We start from the raw sequence: 20,020 nt of genomic DNA on the forward strand, positions 1-20,020 counted from the left end.
ATGTCCTGGAGGACATAACAGATATTTCAATAGCTAGCAAACCAGTGATCTATATCATCTACTACGCATTGCTCTGAGTAATTACGGAGAAGGCTCAGTTAGCGAAGGTCTGAGAGATTTGTGGCCAGGCCTGAAGGTTCTTCCTACAGGGCAACTCACATCAGTCTTGTCTTGATCAATATCCACGAAACCAAGGGTTTGACATCCCTGTTTTCTTTCCTTCCAAGAACCCATTAAACTGAATACACAACTATTGTAATATAAAATATCTGCCCACGTGCTTCCTAAAATTATCTCATAGTATGTGACTACGCCATGAGATAATGTGAGGTTAGGGCAGTATTTGTCAAATCTGACTGCACGTTAGAGTCAATTGGAGAGACTTAAAGAAAAAAGCAACACATGGGCCCAATTCTAGATCAATTCCATCGGAATCTCTGGAGATGGGTCTTGGTTATTGTATTAGTACACTGCAAACCTCTCTAGGTGGTTTTGAGGAGCCTCCAGGATTGGGAACCACTGGGTCATAGCAGGGTGTCTACAGAAGCTTCTATGAAGTATACACCGTAGCTATTGGGAAGGGCAGCTCATTGAGCAATATCCAGGGATTGATATCCTTCAGCACAAACAATGGGGTGAACCTTGGGTAATGGGGCTCTGAGGGAGTGTGTATATGAAAAGAAGTCACAGAAAGGATAAAAAATGGTGCACGGGGAGACCAGGCAATGTGACTTAATGGGTGGGAGGGGTCCCAGACAGCCAGGATGCAGCTGGTTTTATGAGAAATGAATGGACACTACCTCTCCACAACGAAGCGCTCACTTTGTAAGTAGGTCAAGCTCCCCAGGAGCCTTAGTCTTCCCTGACCCCCGACCCCCTTATCCCCTTGCTCACCTCACATTGGCCAGGGGTCCAGCACTCTCAAAGTTGTCTCTGAGGTCGGGCCCATCGCCTGATGATTTTTGGGAGTCAGAGTAGGAGGAGACGCTGTTGAATCGGACCTTGTAGCTCCTGCCAAAACCAAAGAGAACCTGTGAGCTCTGGCCTGGAGCTCCCTCCTGAGGTCAACACCCTTGATGGATCTTCAAGTGACCAGTCCTGATTCTAGGGCCTTCTCTTGTATGTTGAGTCAAACCATAACACTCCCATGGCCTCTTCTATAATCTACCAACTTACCCTTGTCCACCACAGTGGTAACTGTTCATCTGCACTTGGTCTTAACTGGTACTAAAAAGGTTTCTGGCCATGCTTAACTCAGGAAACCTGAGACCCATAAAGTTAAAATGATTTAATCAGTAAGAAGTCAGGAACAGAACTAACTACTCCCCTAAACCATGAGACCATGCTCCCTTGTTTCTAAAAAAAAAAAAAATTTTTTTTTGAGACAGAGTTTCACTCTTGTCGCCTGGGCTGGAGTGCAATGGCACGGCCTCGTCTCACTGCAACCTCTGCCTCCTGGGTTCAAGTGATTCTCCTGCTTCAGCCTCCCAAGTAGCTGGGATTACAGGCATGTGCCAACATGCTCAGCTAATTTTGCATTTTTAGTAGAGACGGGGTTTCACCACATTTGCCAGGCTGGTCTCAAACTCCTGACCTTAGGTGATCCACCTGCCTCGGCCTCCCAAAGTGCTGGGATTACAGGTGTGAGCCACTGCACCTGGCTGTTTCTCAAATTTTAATGTGTACAAGAATCATCCTGGGATTTCATTAAAATGCAGATTCTGATTAAGTAGTTCTGGGACCTGGCTTGGGGTTCTGCATTTCTAACGAGCTCCCAGGAGATGCCAGTGTCTCCAGACTTCATTTTAAGTAGCTAGAAACTAGACCATGCTGTCCAAGATGGCAGCCATTGGCTAAGTGTGGCTATCTAAAGTTAAATTAATTTGAGTTAAATACAAGTCAATGTGGTTGGTACACTGCAAACCTCCCTAGGTGATTCTGATGTGCATTCAGCTTTGAGAACCACTGGGTCATAGCAGGGTGTCACTTGCACCAGCCACATTTCAGGGGCTCCGGAGCCACGTTTGGTTAGTGGCTGCTATAGTGGACAGCACAGATATAGAACATTTACATCTCTCTAGAAAGTTCTTCTGGACAGTGCTGGAGTATCCCATTCAATACTGTCCTTCCATAAAGTTATGGTCCTTAGACATTTCAGGGCTCTATCAAATTTCACATTTCAAGTAAATATGAACAATGTTCAGCACTGACGCCTGGCATGGAAAGAGACTGCATTTTTTAAATTAATACCTAATGCTAAATGACGAGTTAATGGGTGCAGCACACCAGCATGGCACATGTATACATATGTAACTAACCTGCACATTGTGCACATGTACCCTAAAACTTAGAGTATAATAATAATAAAATTAAAAAAATAAATTATTTGGAAGGTGAAGGAAGATGTCTTTGGGACTCAAATCTCAGCATGAGAGGCTCAGGAACCTTGATATTAAAAAAAATCCAATTTCTCCGTTTTCCTCCAAAAATGGTAAGTTGTGCTCTCAGGCAAGGCAAAACAAAACAAAGCAAACAGAAACAAACAAAAAATCTGAGACCAAACAAACAAGCAACCAAAACTCCAAAACAAAACCCAAAACTCAAGAAGCAAACCCAACACACAAATCTAATTACAAAAAATTAAAAAGAAATGAGAAAATTAAAAAAAGAGAGAAAAAGAAGAAAAGAAATTGTGCATTCTAGCAGCAGGGTTTCTAAGCTGGATGTTCTTTAAAGTTTTCGCTCCAGCATCAGGAAAGTTCTAAATATATGTAAGTGTATTTTCTGCCCTAAAATAGTCTCACATTGAGTCATGCAATATATCAGGGGGTGGCTGTGTTGTTAGTGTGGGAGGAATGGTTGATGGTTGTGGGTAAAAATAACAGCACGTGCATTTGTATGAGGTTGGAGGTTTTTTCAAATGCTTTCCTTTTTGTTATTACCCTTTGACCCTGCCAATAGGCCACAGAAGTGGGTAGGGCAGAGCTAATTTCTCCCCATTCGGCAGATGAGAAAGACCAAGGCCCACAGGGGTTAAGCGACTTGCTCAAGGTCACTTAGTGAGTTAGTGACACAGCTCAGGTTAGAACTCGGATCTCCTTGAGACCTAGATGTGTGGCCTGGGATGCTCAGGCATTGGGTGTGCATGCATACACTCGCACACACCTGCGTGTACACACATGCACACTCTACCTGTGCTGGCTGTCACGGGCTGCAGCCAGACCGTGGACTTCTGTGTCACCATTGGGGAGGGGAGGCCCTTTACGGGGAAAGAAACGCAAGGGTTCCGGGTACCTAGAGGGGAGAATCGATGGTGCCCTATCTCTCCCTGAAGGAGGGGTGAGAGGGAACCTGCTGGGAGGCCATCTAGGATGGGGTGGGAAGGAGAGAGGTAAGGAGAGTGAGGACTAAGATGCTGGAGTTGGGCGTAGAACGAGGGCTGACCACAAAGGACTCAGCAACGGTCAGTCTCCTGGGTATCAAACTTATGTGAATACGGCAGCATGTTCTCTGCACAAAGAAAATCAGAAGGGATTTTCTGTTTTTTTTTTTTGAGACGGAGTCTCACTCTGTCACCCAACCTGGAGTGCAGTAGCGCAATCTCGGCTCACCGCAACATCTGCCTCCCAGGCTCAAGTGATTCTCCTGCCTCAGCCTCCTGAGTAGCTGGGATTACAGGTGCACTCCACCATGGCCAGCTAATTTTTATGTTTTTAGTAGAGACGGGTTTCACCATGTTGGCCAGGCTGGTCTCGAACTCCTGACCTTAGGTGATCCTCTCGCCTCAGCCTCCCAAAATGCTGGGATTACAGGCATGAGCCACTGTGTCTGGCCTCAGAAGGGATTTTCTGCTTAACACAGCCAAAAAACACCAGCCAGCTAGAGCATTTGATGTTCACCTTAAGACACAGGGATCTGCTTGCTCCATGCTGGAGCAAATACTGAGTTGGCCTCATGGAAAGGCAGCTCAGCGTGCACACACCATGTGTCCTATACCTTATGGGGGATGCAAGGGCTTTTCAAGGGTCATTAACAAAAATTTTTTTGTCATGGTGCGGTGGCTCAGGCCTGTAATCCCAGCACTTTGGGAGGCTGAGGCAGGCAGATCACCTGAGGTCAGGAGTTCGAGACCAGCCTGGCAAACATGGTGAAAGCCTGTCTCTACTAAAAATACAAAAATTAGCCAGGCATGGTGGTGTGTGCCTGTAATCCCACCTACTCGGGAGGCTGAGGCTGCAGAGTCGCTTGAACCCAGGAGGCGGAGGTTGCAGTGAGCTGAGATCGTGCCATTGCACTCCAGCCTTGGTGATAACAGCGAAACTTCATCTCAAAAAAAATTTTTTTATTTTTATTTTTTAGAGACAGGGTCTTGCTCTGTTGTCTAGGCTGGGGTGCCGTGGTATAATTATGGCTCACTGTAGCCTCAAGCCCCTGAGCTCAAGTGATCCTCCTGCCTCAGCCTCTGGAGTAGCTGGGACTTCAGGTGCACACTACCATGCCCAGCTAATTTTTAATTTTTTTGTAGAGATGGGATCTTGCTATATTGCCCAGGCTGGTTTGAACTCCTGGCCTCAAGCAATCCTCCTGCCTCAGCCTCCCAAAGCACTAGGATTATAGGCATGAGCCACCGTGCCCAGCCATCAATGGTAAGTTTGATTAGATGCTTTTTTACTTTACCAAATACCTTTAGAACTCAATCCCACATTAGATGCGGTTCCATTACAAACATATTTTTGACTACAGGTATGTTTTGTCTTACAAGGTATCTTATCTTTTGAACTCAACTTCTAGATTAGCTGCAACTTCACTGTGAGCATCAGACAGGAAGCTTTTAAGGAAAGAAGTTCCATTCTTTGATTTTAGCTTTTTTTTTTTTTTTTTTTTTTTTTGACAGGTCTGGCTGTTCAGGCTGGCCTCAAATTCCTGGGGCCAAGTGATCCTTCTGGCTCAGCCTCCAGAGTAGCTGAGACTATAGGTGTGCACTACCATGCCTGACTGCCTTGCACTGATTTTGAATGTAGGTTCTCAAAGAGGGAAAAAGAATAATATTTACACAGTGCTTTTTTTTTTTTTTTTTTGAGATGGAGTTTTGCTCTTGTTGCCCAGGCTGGAGTGCAATGGTGCGATCTTGGCTCACTGCAACCTCCTCCTCCCAGGTTCAAGCGATTCTCCCGCCTCAGCCTCCCGAGTAGCTGGGATTACATACATGCGCCACCACGCCCGCCTAATTTTTGTATTATTAGTAGAGATGGGGTTTCACCATGTTGGCCAGGCTGGTCTCGAACTCCTGACCTTGTGATCCATCTGCCTCGGCCTCCCAAAGTGCCGGGATTACAGGCGTGAGCCACCACGCCCAGCACACAGTGCTTTTACATCTAGTTTGTGATTTGATTCTTACTAATTAGAAAGTCAAGGTAGGTGCTATAATCTCTATTTGATAGAAAAGGAAACTGAGGCACAAGGCTGTGAAGTGACCCAGATACCAAAATATTTGCCCCAGTAGACTGCAGACACCTCACAACTAAGACCCATTACAAATGGACTTCAGATTACAGCCACCATCCAGAACTCAAATGTGAACCCCAGGTGCCAAAAGTCAATGTCCAGTTACCCTCGGGGGTGGCGGGTGACGTCGGAGGGGTCATTCACTTACTTCCTTTCTTCCTGCACAGAGTTGGGGTGCCTCATTTCCATCAAAGCACAGCCGAATTTCTGGAAGCCAAAACATATGGGTGAAATTAGCACATCTTAGTAAATGGGAAATCAGGTCGGATACTGAGGGTCTGGGGTCCTGGCTGTCAAAGAGGAGACTGATGCCCGGAGGCCAGGATGTCAGGAGCGGTCAGGGGCTCAGGCTGGACAGTAATGCCTGGGCTACAGACGCAGTGGATACACCTGCTGTTTAAATGACTACAGGTGTGGACTCCCTACCCCCAGCACACAACTTCCCGTTGGAGCCTTCCTTCTATAAAAATATTGTCCCCATGTTCCTCATCTACATCAGGGAACATCAAGCTAATGATAGGAGCAGCCACTGCAAACAAATAGCTCACTTAGGTGACAATATTTTCACCAGGGACTTGCTAACTAATGGACGCCAGTAGACTGAGTACTTGGAATTGTCCAACCTTTGTATAACTTGGATCCAAATGGAAATTACTGGCTTTCAGGCTCTGGGAGGGTTTGCTACTGAATAGCAGGTGTAGGAAGAGTCTCAACCTTGGCCCCTACTTCTTCCTGATGATGGAACCACACTCTTGAACAGGTAAAAGCTCATCTCACCTCCCCATTCTCAGGGGGATCTCCATTGCCAAAGGTGCTGGTGACCACAAGGACCAGAGTTTCATGTTCCAGGTGCACAATGTCATATTCTTCCATGGACATCACCTAGGTGGGCAGGGCACAGGTATAGGATGGGGAGAGGAAGAAGGGGATGAGGAGAGAAAAGAGGTGGGAGAGACAAAAAGTGATGGGGGAAGGGCAAGAGGAGAGAAAGGAAAAATGTGAGTCATTTTGGGTCATCTCCTTTGGAAGGAGAACCAAAAGATCTGAGGTGTTAGTACTTCAGTGGGCTCAAGTGGGTAGAACTAAACGCTTTTTGGTAGCGTGGGACCTTGCTATGGTCACTGTGGCCTGAAGGGTTGTGGAGAATCTGAAGCAATGGTTCAAGGGATTGGCAGATACTAGAAACACAGCTTGATGGAATCCCATGGGATTCTTATAGTCAATTGGTCTTGGATTCTTCCTGACCCCAGTTAGGCCGGGAATGATCTGGCTAGAGCTGACTAAGTCTTCTCAACCTCCTCTCTAATCCTCCCCCGAGCAGTGTGGAGCACCTGGCCAAACAAGTCTGAGATATCTGCCTTCTGGAAAGATGATTGCCCTGTGTCTCATCATCGTCTGAGCAACATTTCTCAAAATAGGTTCTAGAAAATCCCAGTCTCCTGAGATGCTCCATGAAAACAAGCGATCCACGATCAAACATGTTTGGGAAACGTCTATATTCTATCCTCGCCTCTTTTGGAGATTAGAACACATGCTTATAGATTACAGGCTCTGGGAAGTCCTGCCACAGCAATGAAAACCATCGAGCTGGCCGGGTGCGGTGGCTCACGCCTGTAATCCCAGCACTTTGGGAGGCCGAGGCGGGCGAATCAAGAGGTCAGGAGATCGAGACCATCCTGGCTAACACAGTGAAGCCCCGTCTCTACTAAAAACACAAAAAATTAGCCGAACGTGGTGGTGGGCGCCTGCAGTCCCAGCTACTCGGGAGGCTGAGGCAGAAGAATGGCGTGAACCCGGGAGGTGGAGCTTGCAGTGAGCCGAGATCGCGCCACTGCACTCCAGCCTGGGTGACAGAGTGAAACTCCTTCTCAAAAAAAAAAAAAAACAAAAAACAAAAAAACAAAAAAACAAAACCAAAAAACCATCGAGCTGTACTTCAGGCAAAGCTTCCCAAACTGACCTCAGAATGGTTTCTTATAAACCCTCTAACATTTTGCTCTAAAGAGGGGAATTTCATTTTGTGACTCCTGGACTCATGGGGACAGGGATATCACAGTCCCCTGAAATTTATGCAAATGTGTATGTGAGCTGATAGGCCCTGTCAGGTGTGCTTTCATCCTTTGCCAAAGGCTTCTTCTCTGTTGACTTCCCTCTCTCCCCTTCCTGCCTTAATTCACCATGAGAAGCTGGTGGAGCTAGGGCTACCCCCCACCTACCTTGGCATCAAAGGCGTGTTTGAAGATCTCACACAAGGTCTTGGCATAAGCTTGCGATTTGCCTGTCTCTGTGGCATAGAGGATGGTCGCTTTCACCCTCTTGGCCATAGCCTGCCCCATCAGCTTGGCCGAGAACTTGACAGCTCTGGAGGGAAGAGGATGGAGATGAAAAATGGGCAACAGAAAAGGGGAGAGAAGATGCTGGATTGGGACTTTCGTGCAAGAACCAGGATCCATGAAATATAACAGAAGAGAACTCTCTTGATCTTTGATGGCTTCAGGGGTTTCCTCAGAGGCACTTGAAGTCTTTGTGTTTAAGCACCGTATTATTAAAGTATTATTAAATCCTTTATTTTATTTTATTTTTTAACTTCTCTAGAGATAATGCTGGATATTAAATCCTTTATTAAATCCCACCAGAGGCCGGGTGTGGTAGCTCATGCTTATAATCCCAGCACTTTGGGAGGCCGAGGCAGGTGGATTGCCTGAGCTCAGGAATTTGCCACCAGCCTGGGCAACAAGGTGAAACTCCGTCTCTACTAAAATACAAAAAAATTAGCCGGGAGTGGCAGCGTGCGCCTGTAGTCCCAGCTACTTGGGAGGCTAAGGCAAGAGAATTGCTTGAACCCAGGAGGTGGAGGTTGCAGTGAGCCGAGATCGCACCACTGGGCACCACTGCACTCCAGCCTGGGCGACAGAGTGAGACTCTGCCTCAAAAAAAAAAAAAAAAAAAAAAAAAAATCCCACCAGAGCAATTAGTCATGAATTAAAAGGAGTAGTTAGTTTTGTTAGCTTGTTACTTGATTGATCCCAGGCTTAAGAACCTTGGTTTGCCAAGCATTGCCTCAAAAGATGATCGTTCATCCATTTCCTCTCTCTTTCATTCATCAAATATTTATTAAGTGCTTAACTATGTGTCAGTATTGTTATAGGAAATGGAGACCACAGAGAACATAGCTATGGAATGCAGCTGTCATAGGGCTCATATTCTAATGTGTGTGTGTATGCACATGTGTGAATGAGAGAAAGAGAGAGAGAAATGAATCACGAATTAGTCACCAGGCATTGAGTTTGATGGGATTTAGAGGTTTATTGGTCCACAAGGGAAGGACCAGGTCTGATTTATTCAGCAATGCATGTCAAGGGTCTTGCACAGAGCCTGATACCCAACAGGCACTAAATAAATATCTATCAAAAGAAGTTATGGGATGGGCATAGTGGCTCATGCCTGTGATCCTGGCACTTTGGGAGGCTGAGGCGGGAGGATCACTTGAGGCCAAGGGTTTGAAACCAGCTTGGTCAACAGAGTGAGACTTTGTCTCTACAAAAAAGAAATAAAAGAAGTTATGAATTTTAAAAGATGCTGCCACTGAGACCCTGGGAAGTCTGAACATCAAATCCAGCCTCTTTCTAACTAAACAGAGAAGCCCAAACCAGTGTCTCTTCCTTCTGCTCTACTGGGCAGGGCGAGTTCCAGGGGCACTAGCAGACAGGCCAGAGGCTCAGAAATACCCAGGCTCGACTCCTTAACAAGCCTCCCTGTTGTAACTAGAAATCTCAGTGCAGACAAATCGCTAACTTCCCCCCACCTGGGATTATCGGCGTTAAGTTCATTATTTTTTAGAATCAGGGAAACCGCCCACGATGCAGGAAGACTTAGCTAAGGGGAAGAAACAGAAAGGAATAAAAGGTACCTGGAGGGTTCCCTTTGAATAATTTGAGCATAAAGATGCATCTATAATTAATTCCCATTGTTACTACCCAAAACTTAATAGTGTAATTAATGTTTTAGATTTCTCCCTCCCCTTTCCCCCCAGAGACAGTGGAGCTGAACTGAAGCCAACAATTGCCCTCCCTGAGAATATCTGAGATATTCTTGTTAGGGAAATGGTGGCTGCTGATGTGTTCTTGCTTGGCTGGGGGATGGGATTAGGGTGGAAGGAGAGAGAGGGAGGGAGGGAGGGAGAGAGAGAGAGAGAGAGACAGAGAGAGGAGAGGGAGGGAGGGAGAGAAAGGGGGAGGGGGAGAGAGAGAGAGAGAGAAGAGAGAGGAGAGAGAGAGAGAGAGAGATTGATTGATTCTATGGGCTCTATTAATGGAGCCAGGACCTAGGTTTGGGTCCCTGCAAGACCCACCAGTGTCTTGTCTCTGGGGCCCATGGCTTAGATGACACCTGTTGTACAACTAGTTATCATACATAGAGAATTCTGGACCTGAGGGAGCTGAGGAAACAGAGTAGTGTCTTCTGACAAAAAGTTAGCTCCAAACAGTGGTCTTTGGTAAGTGGATCAGTGGGGTTCTCTTTTTTTTGGGGCAGAAGGCTGGCATCCCCGTTAAATCAACTTAGTTAACCCCATCCTACTTGTCAGCTGGTCCTCTGGCTGGTCAGGCATTCTTCAGGAAAATCACTCCTCAGTAGTCTCAGGCCATAACCCCCTTCCTTCCCCTCTTTGCTTAAACTTTCTTAATCTCATTCTTTAGCTCAATTGTCACCTCCTCCAGGAAGCCCTCCCTGACCTCCCAAACTCCGTGAACCATTATTATTTCCAGGAACCATTCCTCGATGGTACCTTCCACAGCTGCCATGTTTACTGTATTTGTTGATTCTTTGACAAAGGAATGGCTGTGAGCTTCATGACAGCAGGGACAGCATTTGTCTAGCTTGCCATGATCCCCCTGAAGCCTCACACAGTGCCTGGCACAGAATCTGAGTAGCTAGAACTACAGGCGTGTGCTGCGACACCCAACTAATGAATGAATGAATGAGTAAATGAATGAATGAGTAAAATTAAGGGTCAGCCCTGAACGAGGGTGCTCTCCAGGCAGTAGTGTGCTGGAGCTGACTAACTCCAGCTCCTCCCTAGTCTGGGTTCAGTGACTTCCTAGGCCAGGTGTAGTGGCTCACACCTGTAATCCTAGCACTTTGGGAGGCTGAGGCAGGAGGATCGCTTGAGGCCAGGTGTTCGAGACTAGCCTGTGCAACAAAGTGAGACGCCTCCAGCCTGGGGAACAGACCCTATCTCAAAAAAGAAAGAAAGAAAGAAAAGAAATTGGTCATAGTGGGAATGTTTACATCATGGAAACTGGCAAACATGAAAATCAAGGTATTACTATTATTATTATTATTATTATTATTATTATTATTATTATTATTATTAGGAGGGCTGGTTCACCAACACACCATTGCCCCCAGGACAAGAATTTAGGAAACCAGTGTGAGGAAAGTGAGGCTGAGAAGGAGAAGAGTTGGAACGACATTCACAGCTCAGACTCAGAGGCAAAGAAGGCCCAGGTGGCTGAAGAAGATGAAGAAATCATATTCTGTAGAGAGGTCAGAGGGCACAGGAGTCTGCCCAGCCTCCTTCTCTGGGTTCTCTGAGTTTGTGGGGACATCCACCCCACCCGCCCACTGCACGAAACTTACTCTGCTAGCTTCTTGAAGCCAATGGCTCGCCGCTTTGTGGGGGTCCCGTTGGTGCCTTTCCAGACATGCGTGTTCCAGGGATCAGGCTGGGAAGAGAAGGAGAGGGCTATGGTCACTCACTGCAGTGAGGGCATCTGGTTCCTGTTGGGGATGCTCAGGACCACCTGGGACTTGTGACTGCCTGACCCTCGGCCTCTGAAGGGAAGAATTCTGCCCAGTGGTGACCACCATGGGGGAAGGGATGCGGGGTTGGGGGGAGGGGGGGGGTCCTTGCCCAGTGGGTGGTCTGGCCTTGGCAGTGTCCTGCTAGCTCTTTCCCCTTGGCCCCCAGTCCCTCTCAAACTCTGTTCTTGTGACCCCTGACTACTCACTCTCATTTCATCCCTCTTTCTCTCTCTTAAGAGACAGGGGTCTCACTCTGCTGCCCAGGCAGGAGTGCAGTGGTGTGATCATAGCTCACTGCAGCCTTGACCTCCCTAGCTCAAGGGATCCTCCTAACTCAGCCTCCCAAATAGCTGGGACTACAGGTATATGCCACCACACTCAGCTAATTTTCTTATTTATTTTCTTTCTTTATTTTCTTTCTTTCTTTCCTTTCTTTCTCTTTCTTTCTCTCTCTCTCTCCCTTCCTTCCTTTCCTTCCTTCCTTCCTCCCTCCCTTCCCTTCTTCCTTCCTTTCTTCCCTTCCTTCCTTCTTTTCCTTCCTTCCCTCCCTCCCTCCCCTTCTCTCCCTCTCTCTCTCCCTTTCCCCCCTCTCCCTCTTTCCCTCTACACTCTCTCCCTCTCCCCCTCTTCATCCTCCCCATCTCCCCCTCTCCCTCTCCCTTTCCCTCTCTCTCTTTCTCTCTTTCTTTTTGTCCCACTCTTGTTGCCCAGGCTGGAGTTCAGTGGCTTGATATCGGCTCACTGCAACCTCCACCTCCTGGGTTCAAGCGATTCTCTTATCTTGGCCTCTTGAGCAGCTGGCATACGCCAGGCTAATTTTTTGTATTTTTAGTAGAGATGGGGTTTCGCCATGTTGGCCAGGCTGGTCTCGAACTCCTGACTCAGGTGATCCACCTGCCTTGGCCTCCCAAAGTGCTGGGATCACAGGTGTGACCCACCATGCCCAGCCTGCTAATTAAAAAAAAAAAAAAATTTAGAGATGGGGTCTCACTATATTCCCCAGGGTGGTCTCAAACTCCTGGCCTCAAGCCACCTTCCCACCTCAACCTCCCAAATCACTGGGATTATAGGCATGAGCCATCATGTCGGCCTCATATAGTCTCTCTTGTTCTTTCAGCTAGACCTGTGCAATATGGTAGCCACCAGCCACATGTGGCTATTGAGTGTCCAGAGCACTAGCCTGGGTTGAAATGAGCCTAAATGTGACACACACACCAGATACAGGACACTTAATATGAAAAGAGGCAGGGACAGGGAAGGACCTGGTATTCGAAGGAGGGGGTGAGCCGGTAGTTGAGCATCTCCTGGTGGAACACAGGGGTGATGCTTCCGGACATGGGGGGCACGATCCACACCCAGTCGGCAGGGCAGCCCCCCCGGCAGCGGTACTCATTCTCCATGTGCTTAATGAAGGACTCGGTGGCGGAGTGATGGTCAACAATGGTCACTTTGTCACTCTGTGGGAGGAGAGGGGACAGGGGTCAGGAGGTATGAGAAGCTGGGGTATTTTGGGACTCCCTGCCCCAAAGAGCAGCATTTCCCAAAGGGTGGTCCCTGAGATGGTTTAGAGCAGCGTGAAGTGAGATGGTGATTCTCTCTGCATTTCTTGTCCAGTCCTTCCACTTAGACCCAGGAGAAAGTCTTCGTTGGGTGCTATTGTGTCTTTAACACCTTTCGTGTCGATCTTGCCAATCTTCCTCTCTCCCATCCCACCCCCATCTTTTTTTTCTTTCTTTCTTTCTTTTTCTTTTTTTTGAGACGGAGTCTTGCTCTATCACCCAGGCTGGAGTGCAGTGGCGCGATCTTGGCTCACTGCAAGCTCTGCCTCCCGGGTTCACACCATTCTCCTGCCTCAGCCTCCCGAGTAGCTGGGACTACAGGCGCCCGCCACCACGCCTGGCTAATTTTTTTTTTTTTTGTATTTTTTAGTAGAGACGGGGTTTCACCGTGTTAGCCAGGATGGTCTCGATCTCCTGACCTCGTGATCCACCCGCCTCCACCTCCCAAAGTGCTGGGATTACAGGTGTGAGCCACCGTGCCCGGCCTTTTTCTTTTTCTATTTTTTAATTTTTATAGGCTTTTGGGGAACAGGTGGTGCTTGGTGACATGAGTAAGTTCTTTAGTGGTGATTTGTGAGATTTTGGTGCACCCATCGCCCGAGCAGTATACACTGCACACAATTTGTAGTCTTTTATCCCTCACCCCCTTCCCACCCTTTCCCCGAGTCCCCAAAGTCCACTGTGTCATTCTTAGGCCTTTGCGTCCTCGTAGCTTAGCTCCCACTAATGAGTGAGAACATACGATGTTTGGTTTTTCATTCCTGAGTTACTTCACTTAGAATAATAGTCTCCATTCCCATCCAGGTTGCTGCGAATGCCATGAATTCGGTTGGTTCCACATTTTTAGCAATTGCGAATTGTGCTGTTATAAACATGTGTGTGCAAGTATCTTTTTTGTATAATGACTTCTTTTAGGTTTTTTTTTTCTTTTCTTTTTTTTTTTGAGATAGGGTCTCACTCTGTCGCCCAGACTGGAGTGCAGTGGTGCAATCTCGGCTCGCCGCAACCTCTATCTTCCAGGCTCAAGTGATTCTCCTGCCTCAGCCTCCTGAGTAGCTGGGATTACAGGCACATGCCACTACTGCCCGGCTAATTTTTGTATTTTTAGCAGAGATGGGCTTCACCATGTTGGCCAGGCTGCTCTTGAACTCCTGACCTCAAATGATCCACCCTCCTCGACCTCCCAAAGTGCTGGGATTACAGGTGTGAGCCACGGCGCCTGGCTAGTTTTCATTGTTCATCTCAATTACATCCCTGTTGTCTCTGGCTTGACAGACTTCATACCAGTCCATCAGGCCACATGCCACACTCCTGAAACCTCATTCTCCATGGTTAAAGGAGAAGGGAGGTGGCCTCCTTCCCTCTTGCCCTGTCTCAACTTGTCCCTTCCCTTTGACATTCCTCAGTGCACCCACTCCATCCACATCTGACATGGGGACCTATGGCTTCTATTCCTATCCATCCATGGCTTGATTTAACACATTCATTCTGCTGGCTGTGTGTGCCTCTCACGTGCATCTACGGGGGTCTAGCTGCCTAGACTGGAAGCCCCCAGAGGACAGTGATGGTCCCTATTATAGAGAGCAACTTCTAGTTTCTAGATCTCCTGGTTGGCCCAGGAGAATCCTAGTGATGCCCATTGTCCTGGCATAGTTATTACTAGTGTCGCCCTCTGGCTCTCAAAAGTGTTGTGGTGGCCAGGCGTGATTCACGCCTGTAATCCCAGCACTTTGGGAGGCCGAGGCAGGTGAATCACCTGAAGTCAGGAGTTCAAGACCAGCCTGGCCAACATGGTGAAACCCCACCTCTACTAAAAATACAAAAATTAGCTGGGCGCGGTGGTGGGCATCTGTAATCCCAGCTACTCAGGAGGCTGAGGCAGGAGAATTGCTTGGACCCGGGAGGTGGAGGTTGCAGTGAGTCGAGATTGTGCCACTGCACTCTAGTCTGGGCGACAAGAGTGAAACTCCATCTCAAAAAAAAAAAAAAAGTGTTGTGGCTTAGTTGATACATTTTCCAGCCATCCTGCTATAATGCCATTTAGCACAGCCTCATGCATTTATTTAGGAGCCTATATGTCTCTGATGATGTTGAAGAGTATTTGTCTCTGTTATGTGATAGTCTGAGGCCCTAAGAGATGACAAGACAGAGAGGATGCCTCTTGTTTGAATTCTAAAGAACTCTAAGCAACAAGACAGAACACTCCTCTACCCCTGCCACCATTTGTTCATCTCTTCATCAAATGGTCCCCACCCAAGATCCACACTGGAGAGGAGGGCATGCAGGATGGAAGCTAGACCATACTCATGGACACAATCCCCGCAAAGGTGGTTTCTGGCAGTGAGGTCTCTTGATCCTCTGCATCAAGGCTCTGAAAGGTTTGAACTCTCATTTGAAGCTTGACCCTGGTGGTGCGGGCCCTGGTGTTACCTGGAAGCTATAGAGAACCGCGATATTGATCTCCACCAGCGCCTGGTCCTTCCACAGGGAGGACGTCTTCCTCATGTCTAAGTTCATCTTCTTGGCCACTTCCTGAAAGAGGAAGGAAACACAGATATACAGGCTGGGGTATCTCTGGATTTCAGATTGAAGAGGGACAGGGCTAGTGGCGTGAAATAATTTCTTTTCTTTTTTTTTAAATGGACTCTCGCTCTGTCGCACAGGCTGGAGTGCAGTGGTGTGATCTTGGCTCACTGCAACCTCTGCCTCCTGCATTCAAGCGATTCTCCTGCCTCAGCCTCCTGAGTAGCTGGGACTACAGGCTTCTGCCACTATGCCTGGCTAAGTTTTTGTATTTTTAGTAGAGACGGGGTTTCACCATGTTGGCCAGACTGGTCTCAAACTCCTGGCCTCAAGTGATCCACCCACCTTGGCCTCCCAAAGTGCTGGGATTACAGGCGTGAGGCACCTTGCCTGGCCAAGAATTTCTTAATTAATTAATCAACTCATTCACAGACTAATGAACTCACTCATTCAATTTTTTTTTTTTTTTTTTGAGACGGAGTCTTGCTCTGTCACCCAGGCTGGAGTGCAGTGGCACGATCTTGGCTCACTGCAAGCTCCGCCTCTTGGGTTCATGCCATTCTCCTGCCTTAGCCTCCTGAGTAGCTGGGACTACAGGCGGCCGCCACCACGCCGGGCTAATTTTTTTTTTTTTTGTATTTTTAGTAGAGAGGGGGTTTCACCGTGTTAGCCAGGATGGTCTCGATCTCCTGACCTCATGATCCACCCGCCTTGGCCTCCCAAAGTGCTGGGATTACAGGCGTGAGCCACCGCGCCCAGCCTCAAAAATTTTTTATTGATCTGTTGGACTAGGTATGAAATAAAAATGTTAAAAAATTTAAAAAGTTAAAATTTTTATCGAGAACCTACCAGCAGCAGGAAACTAGAGACTCGGCTGGCCCTTTAATTACTAATCTTGTGTTCTAATGGGGAAGAGAGAGATACTTAATACAGTGGTAGGTACTAATTCTTAGGAAGAAAATAAGGAAATGGGATGAAGAGGGATATGGGGGCTGGGCTAATTCAGCTAGGGTAGTCAGGGAAGGCCCACTGTGGAGACAGCATGCAAGGTGAGCCCTAAGTGATGAGAAGAAGCCAGATATTCGCAGATCTGGGGAGAGAGTGCTCTAGGCAGAGGGGGCAGCAAGAGCAAAGCCCTGGGGTGGGATCAGGCTTGGGCTATCTTAGATATGGAAAGAAGACCAGAGGGTGTTTGGAGGGTGGTACATAAGGGGTAATTGGTGGGAGTGAGACAGGACTAGCTGGTGTAAGATCTTGAAAGACATGCCAAGGAGTCAGGATGTTATTCCAGATGTGACGGGCCCAGGGGGCAGGATCTCTGGAGATTTGTTTTTTTTTTTTTTTTTTTTTTAGACAGAGTCTCACTCTGTCGCCAGGCTGGAGTGCAGTGTCGTGATCTCGGCTCACTGCAACCTCCGCTTCCTGGGTTTAAGTGATTCTCCTGCCTCAGCCTCCCAAAGTAGCTGGGACTACAGGTGCACACCATCATGTCCAGCTAAGTTTTGTAATTTTAGTAGAGATGGGGTTTCACCATGTTGGCCAGGATGGTCTCGATCTCTTGACCTCGTGATCCACCCACCTCGGCCTCCCAAAGTGCTGGGATTACAGGCGTGAGCCGCTGCACCCGGCCTCTGGAGCATTTTAACAGAGATGTAGGTCTGTGAGTGCATCATCTGCTTTCTAGCAGGAAAAGCTCTTCATCTATCCTACTCTACCCCCAGAGTGGTCATGACCTAGCATCTAGGCCATGGGTGCTCTGAGCTCATGAGGCCCCTGCCAGACTCCATCTGACACATGGGGAAACTGAGGCTCAGAGAGGTGCCTGGACTTGTCCAACGTCCACAGAACCAGCTAGTCTCAGAGGTGGAGCCCAGGGAGATGCCTAACGTCTAAGACCTTGGAGCTGCTCTCTAAGCAGCTGACGCCTGTGGCAAAATTACTTGCAAAAAAAGAACTCATGACATGCATGTTACAGCCAAGGCAGAAGCAGGAGCTGGTGTCAGGAGCAGGGAAGACCCAATAGCAAGTGCATTAATTAAAGCCCTGCTTTTCACTTCCTCTGTCAATACTAGTCACTGGTGGGAACCCAGGTCTCATTATGGGGCTAAAATGCAGCAATTTCTTTGGTTTGGGTAAACTGCTCCTAGACCCAGCTATCAACGTTTGTACATAATGACAGGTGGAATTGGAGGGTCGGGGTGGGAGAGAGGCTCATTTCAGTTACCCAGAGACTACTCTTTGCAACTGAAATGTAGACAGAGATCAGAGAGCAGACTTATTAACTCACTCTTTGAGGCTGAGGCATTAGTTTCTGCTTGGGGTCTCTATCAGCGACACATTTGTGGGAAGTAAGAAATTTGATGCTGCTTTCCATAAATACATATAAAACTGGAGTGTATGACAGAGGAAAGTATACACACACAGAGGAAAGTATGTATAGAAGAACAATGCTATTGTTATTCTATAGCATTATTTGGTTAAAAGAATAGAAATTAATTGCAGGGAAAAAAGAAACCCTTAAAAAAAATCCCCAAGTGCAACTTGAGCCACATCTAAGAAAACTGCCTGAAACATTTTTTCCTTCCTGCTAGAAGTTTGCACACATTGGTGGTTGTTTAGGCTGGGCGTGGTGGCTCACCCCTGTAATCCCAGCACTTTGGGAGGCCAAGGCGGGTGGATCATCTGAGGTCAAGAGTTCGAGACTAGCCTGGCCAACATGGTGAAACCTCATCTCTACTAAAAATAATAATTAAAAAAATTAGCCAGGTGTGGTGGTGTGTACCTGTAGTCCCAGCTACTTGGGAGGCTGAGACAGGAGAATTGCTTAAGCCCAGGAGGTGGAGGTTGCAGTGAGCCAAGATCGCACCACTGCATTCAAGCCTGGGTGACAGAGCGAGACTCCATTCCCCTACCCACCCCTCCAAAAAGAAAGAAAGAAAAAAGTTTGCATTGCATCAGTGGTTGTCCAGAAGAATCTCCTGGGGAACTTTGCAAAATGCAGATACCCAGGGCCCACCCCAGACCTATGACATCAGAACCCCGATGAATGGGATCCAGGCATCACGAAGCCCCCCAGATACCCTCCGATGTGTGGCAAAGCTGAGGATCCCTGGCATCTGTTTTCCACAGTGATACCGGTGGCTTTTTTTTTTTTTTCTTTGAGATGGAGACTCGCTCTGTTGCCCAGGCTGGAGTACAGTGGCGCAATCTCGGCTCACTGCGACCTCTGCCTCCCTGGTTCAAGCGATTCTCCTGGCTCAGCCTTCTGAGTAGCTGGGATTATAGGCGCAAGCCATCATGCCTGGCTAATTTTTGTATTTTTAGTAGAGACGGGGTTTCACCAAGTTGGTCAGGCTGGTCTCGAACTCCAGGCTGTGATCAGCCTGCCTCGGCCTCCCAAAGTGCTGGGATTACAGGCATGAGCCACCGCGCCCAGCCAACCGGTGGATTTTTAACAGCACAAACCTGATGCTCGGTTCTGGGTTCTAATCTTGGTTCTGTGCCTTAGCTCCTGTGTGACACAGGCCCAGTGCTTAACTTCTCTGTTTCTCAGTGCCCTCTTTTGAAACAAATCCAACAGCAGCAGAGTGTTGTTAGAGACATTTGCTGACAAAAACACAGCAATCATGATGCTTTCACCAAAGTTGGGCTTCAGGAAGCACCGCTCCAGCACTTTTTAGTAGATACGGATGACTCAGCCCGGGAGGGAATCAGACCCTCTGCCGAGAAATGCTTAGAGTGGGGAACCACTGCCAACCCTCCTCCCTTGTTTTTTAGAAAAGACACTAAATATGTCCCGAGTTTGTCAGTCATCCTCAAGCTCTTCTAACAAGATTTAAGACCGAGAGGCAGCGGAGTGGAGTGGTAATGAACTTGGAGCATGAAGTCAAACCAGACACATTTCCCAGCCCTGCTGCCGGCTAGCTGTGTGACCTTGAGCTTGTCATCTGTCGAAGGGGGATTCTCATACCTCAAGGTTCAGGTGAGGATGAAATGAGAATGGAACACAGCAACAGTGCTTCGGATGCTGTTAGCACGTGCTATGTGCTATGTGCGTGTTTGCTGTTATTTTCATTGTTGTTAAAGACATGGATGCCCCTGGCATTTCCAGGGGCTTCTCTGGGATTGCAATTCTATTCTAACCCCTTCAAGTTTCCAAGCCACCAAGCTCGCCGTGGGGAAGGGGACTGCTGAGCTGGCACCCTCTGCTATGTGCTTTTCCCCTGTGGTGACCAGAGAGGGCCCTTACCTCCAGGATATTGTAGCGGGAGTTGTCACAGTAGTCGCGGACACCAATCTCTGTGCCCATGTACCAGCCACTGAAGGGACAGGCGCTGAACTCCAGGCCGCCAATCTCTAGGAGCATGTTGGACACGGCGGGGAGGCCGTACCACTTCAGCCCCAGGTCCTTGAACCACTCAAACCTGCAGGGAGCAACAGGGCCCAGCTCACCCGGAGCAGGTGTCTCATGGGCGGGACAGCTTGAATCTAGAGATGCTGAAATGCCAAGGATGGACTGGGACTGACAAGGTCAGAATATGGTTCCTGGGCCCTGCTTCAGATCTGTGGAATTGCAGGTTCTGCAGCTGGGGGCCTGAGAATGTGCATTTTTAACGTATTTCTCAGGT

General features: G+C 47.9%; 1 protein-coding gene across 4 annotated transcripts in view; it reads right to left on the reverse strand.

Moving 5' to 3' along the window:
* The window catches only part of NOS1 (nitric oxide synthase 1), a 153,485-nt gene that overhangs the window by 44,602 nt on the left and 88,863 nt on the right, over positions 1–20,020 (reverse strand). For 3 of the 4 annotated variants that reach the window (NM_000620.5, NM_001204214.2, NM_001204213.2), the window contains 8 exons: positions 19,642–19,816; positions 15,300–15,401; positions 12,573–12,767; positions 11,146–11,231; positions 7,722–7,866; positions 6,283–6,387; positions 5,654–5,712; positions 895–1,011 (listed from right to left, as the gene is read on the reverse strand). In NM_000620.5, coding sequence (NP_000611.1) covers positions 895–1,011; positions 5,654–5,712; positions 6,283–6,387; positions 7,722–7,866; positions 11,146–11,231; positions 12,573–12,767; positions 15,300–15,401; positions 19,642–19,816 — 984 coding nt within the window. Of the gene's footprint in view, positions 1–894; positions 1,012–3,192; positions 3,295–5,653; positions 5,713–6,282; positions 6,388–7,721; positions 7,867–11,145; positions 11,232–12,572; positions 12,768–15,299; positions 15,402–19,641; positions 19,817–20,020 lie in introns of all 4 variants that reach the window. The other variant, NM_001204218.2, reaches the window with a different exon arrangement.

This window comes from Homo sapiens, chromosome 12 (genome assembly GCF_000001405.40).
Source record: "Homo sapiens chromosome 12, GRCh38.p14 Primary Assembly".
Lineage (NCBI taxonomy): Eukaryota > Metazoa > Chordata > Mammalia > Primates > Hominidae > Homo > Homo sapiens.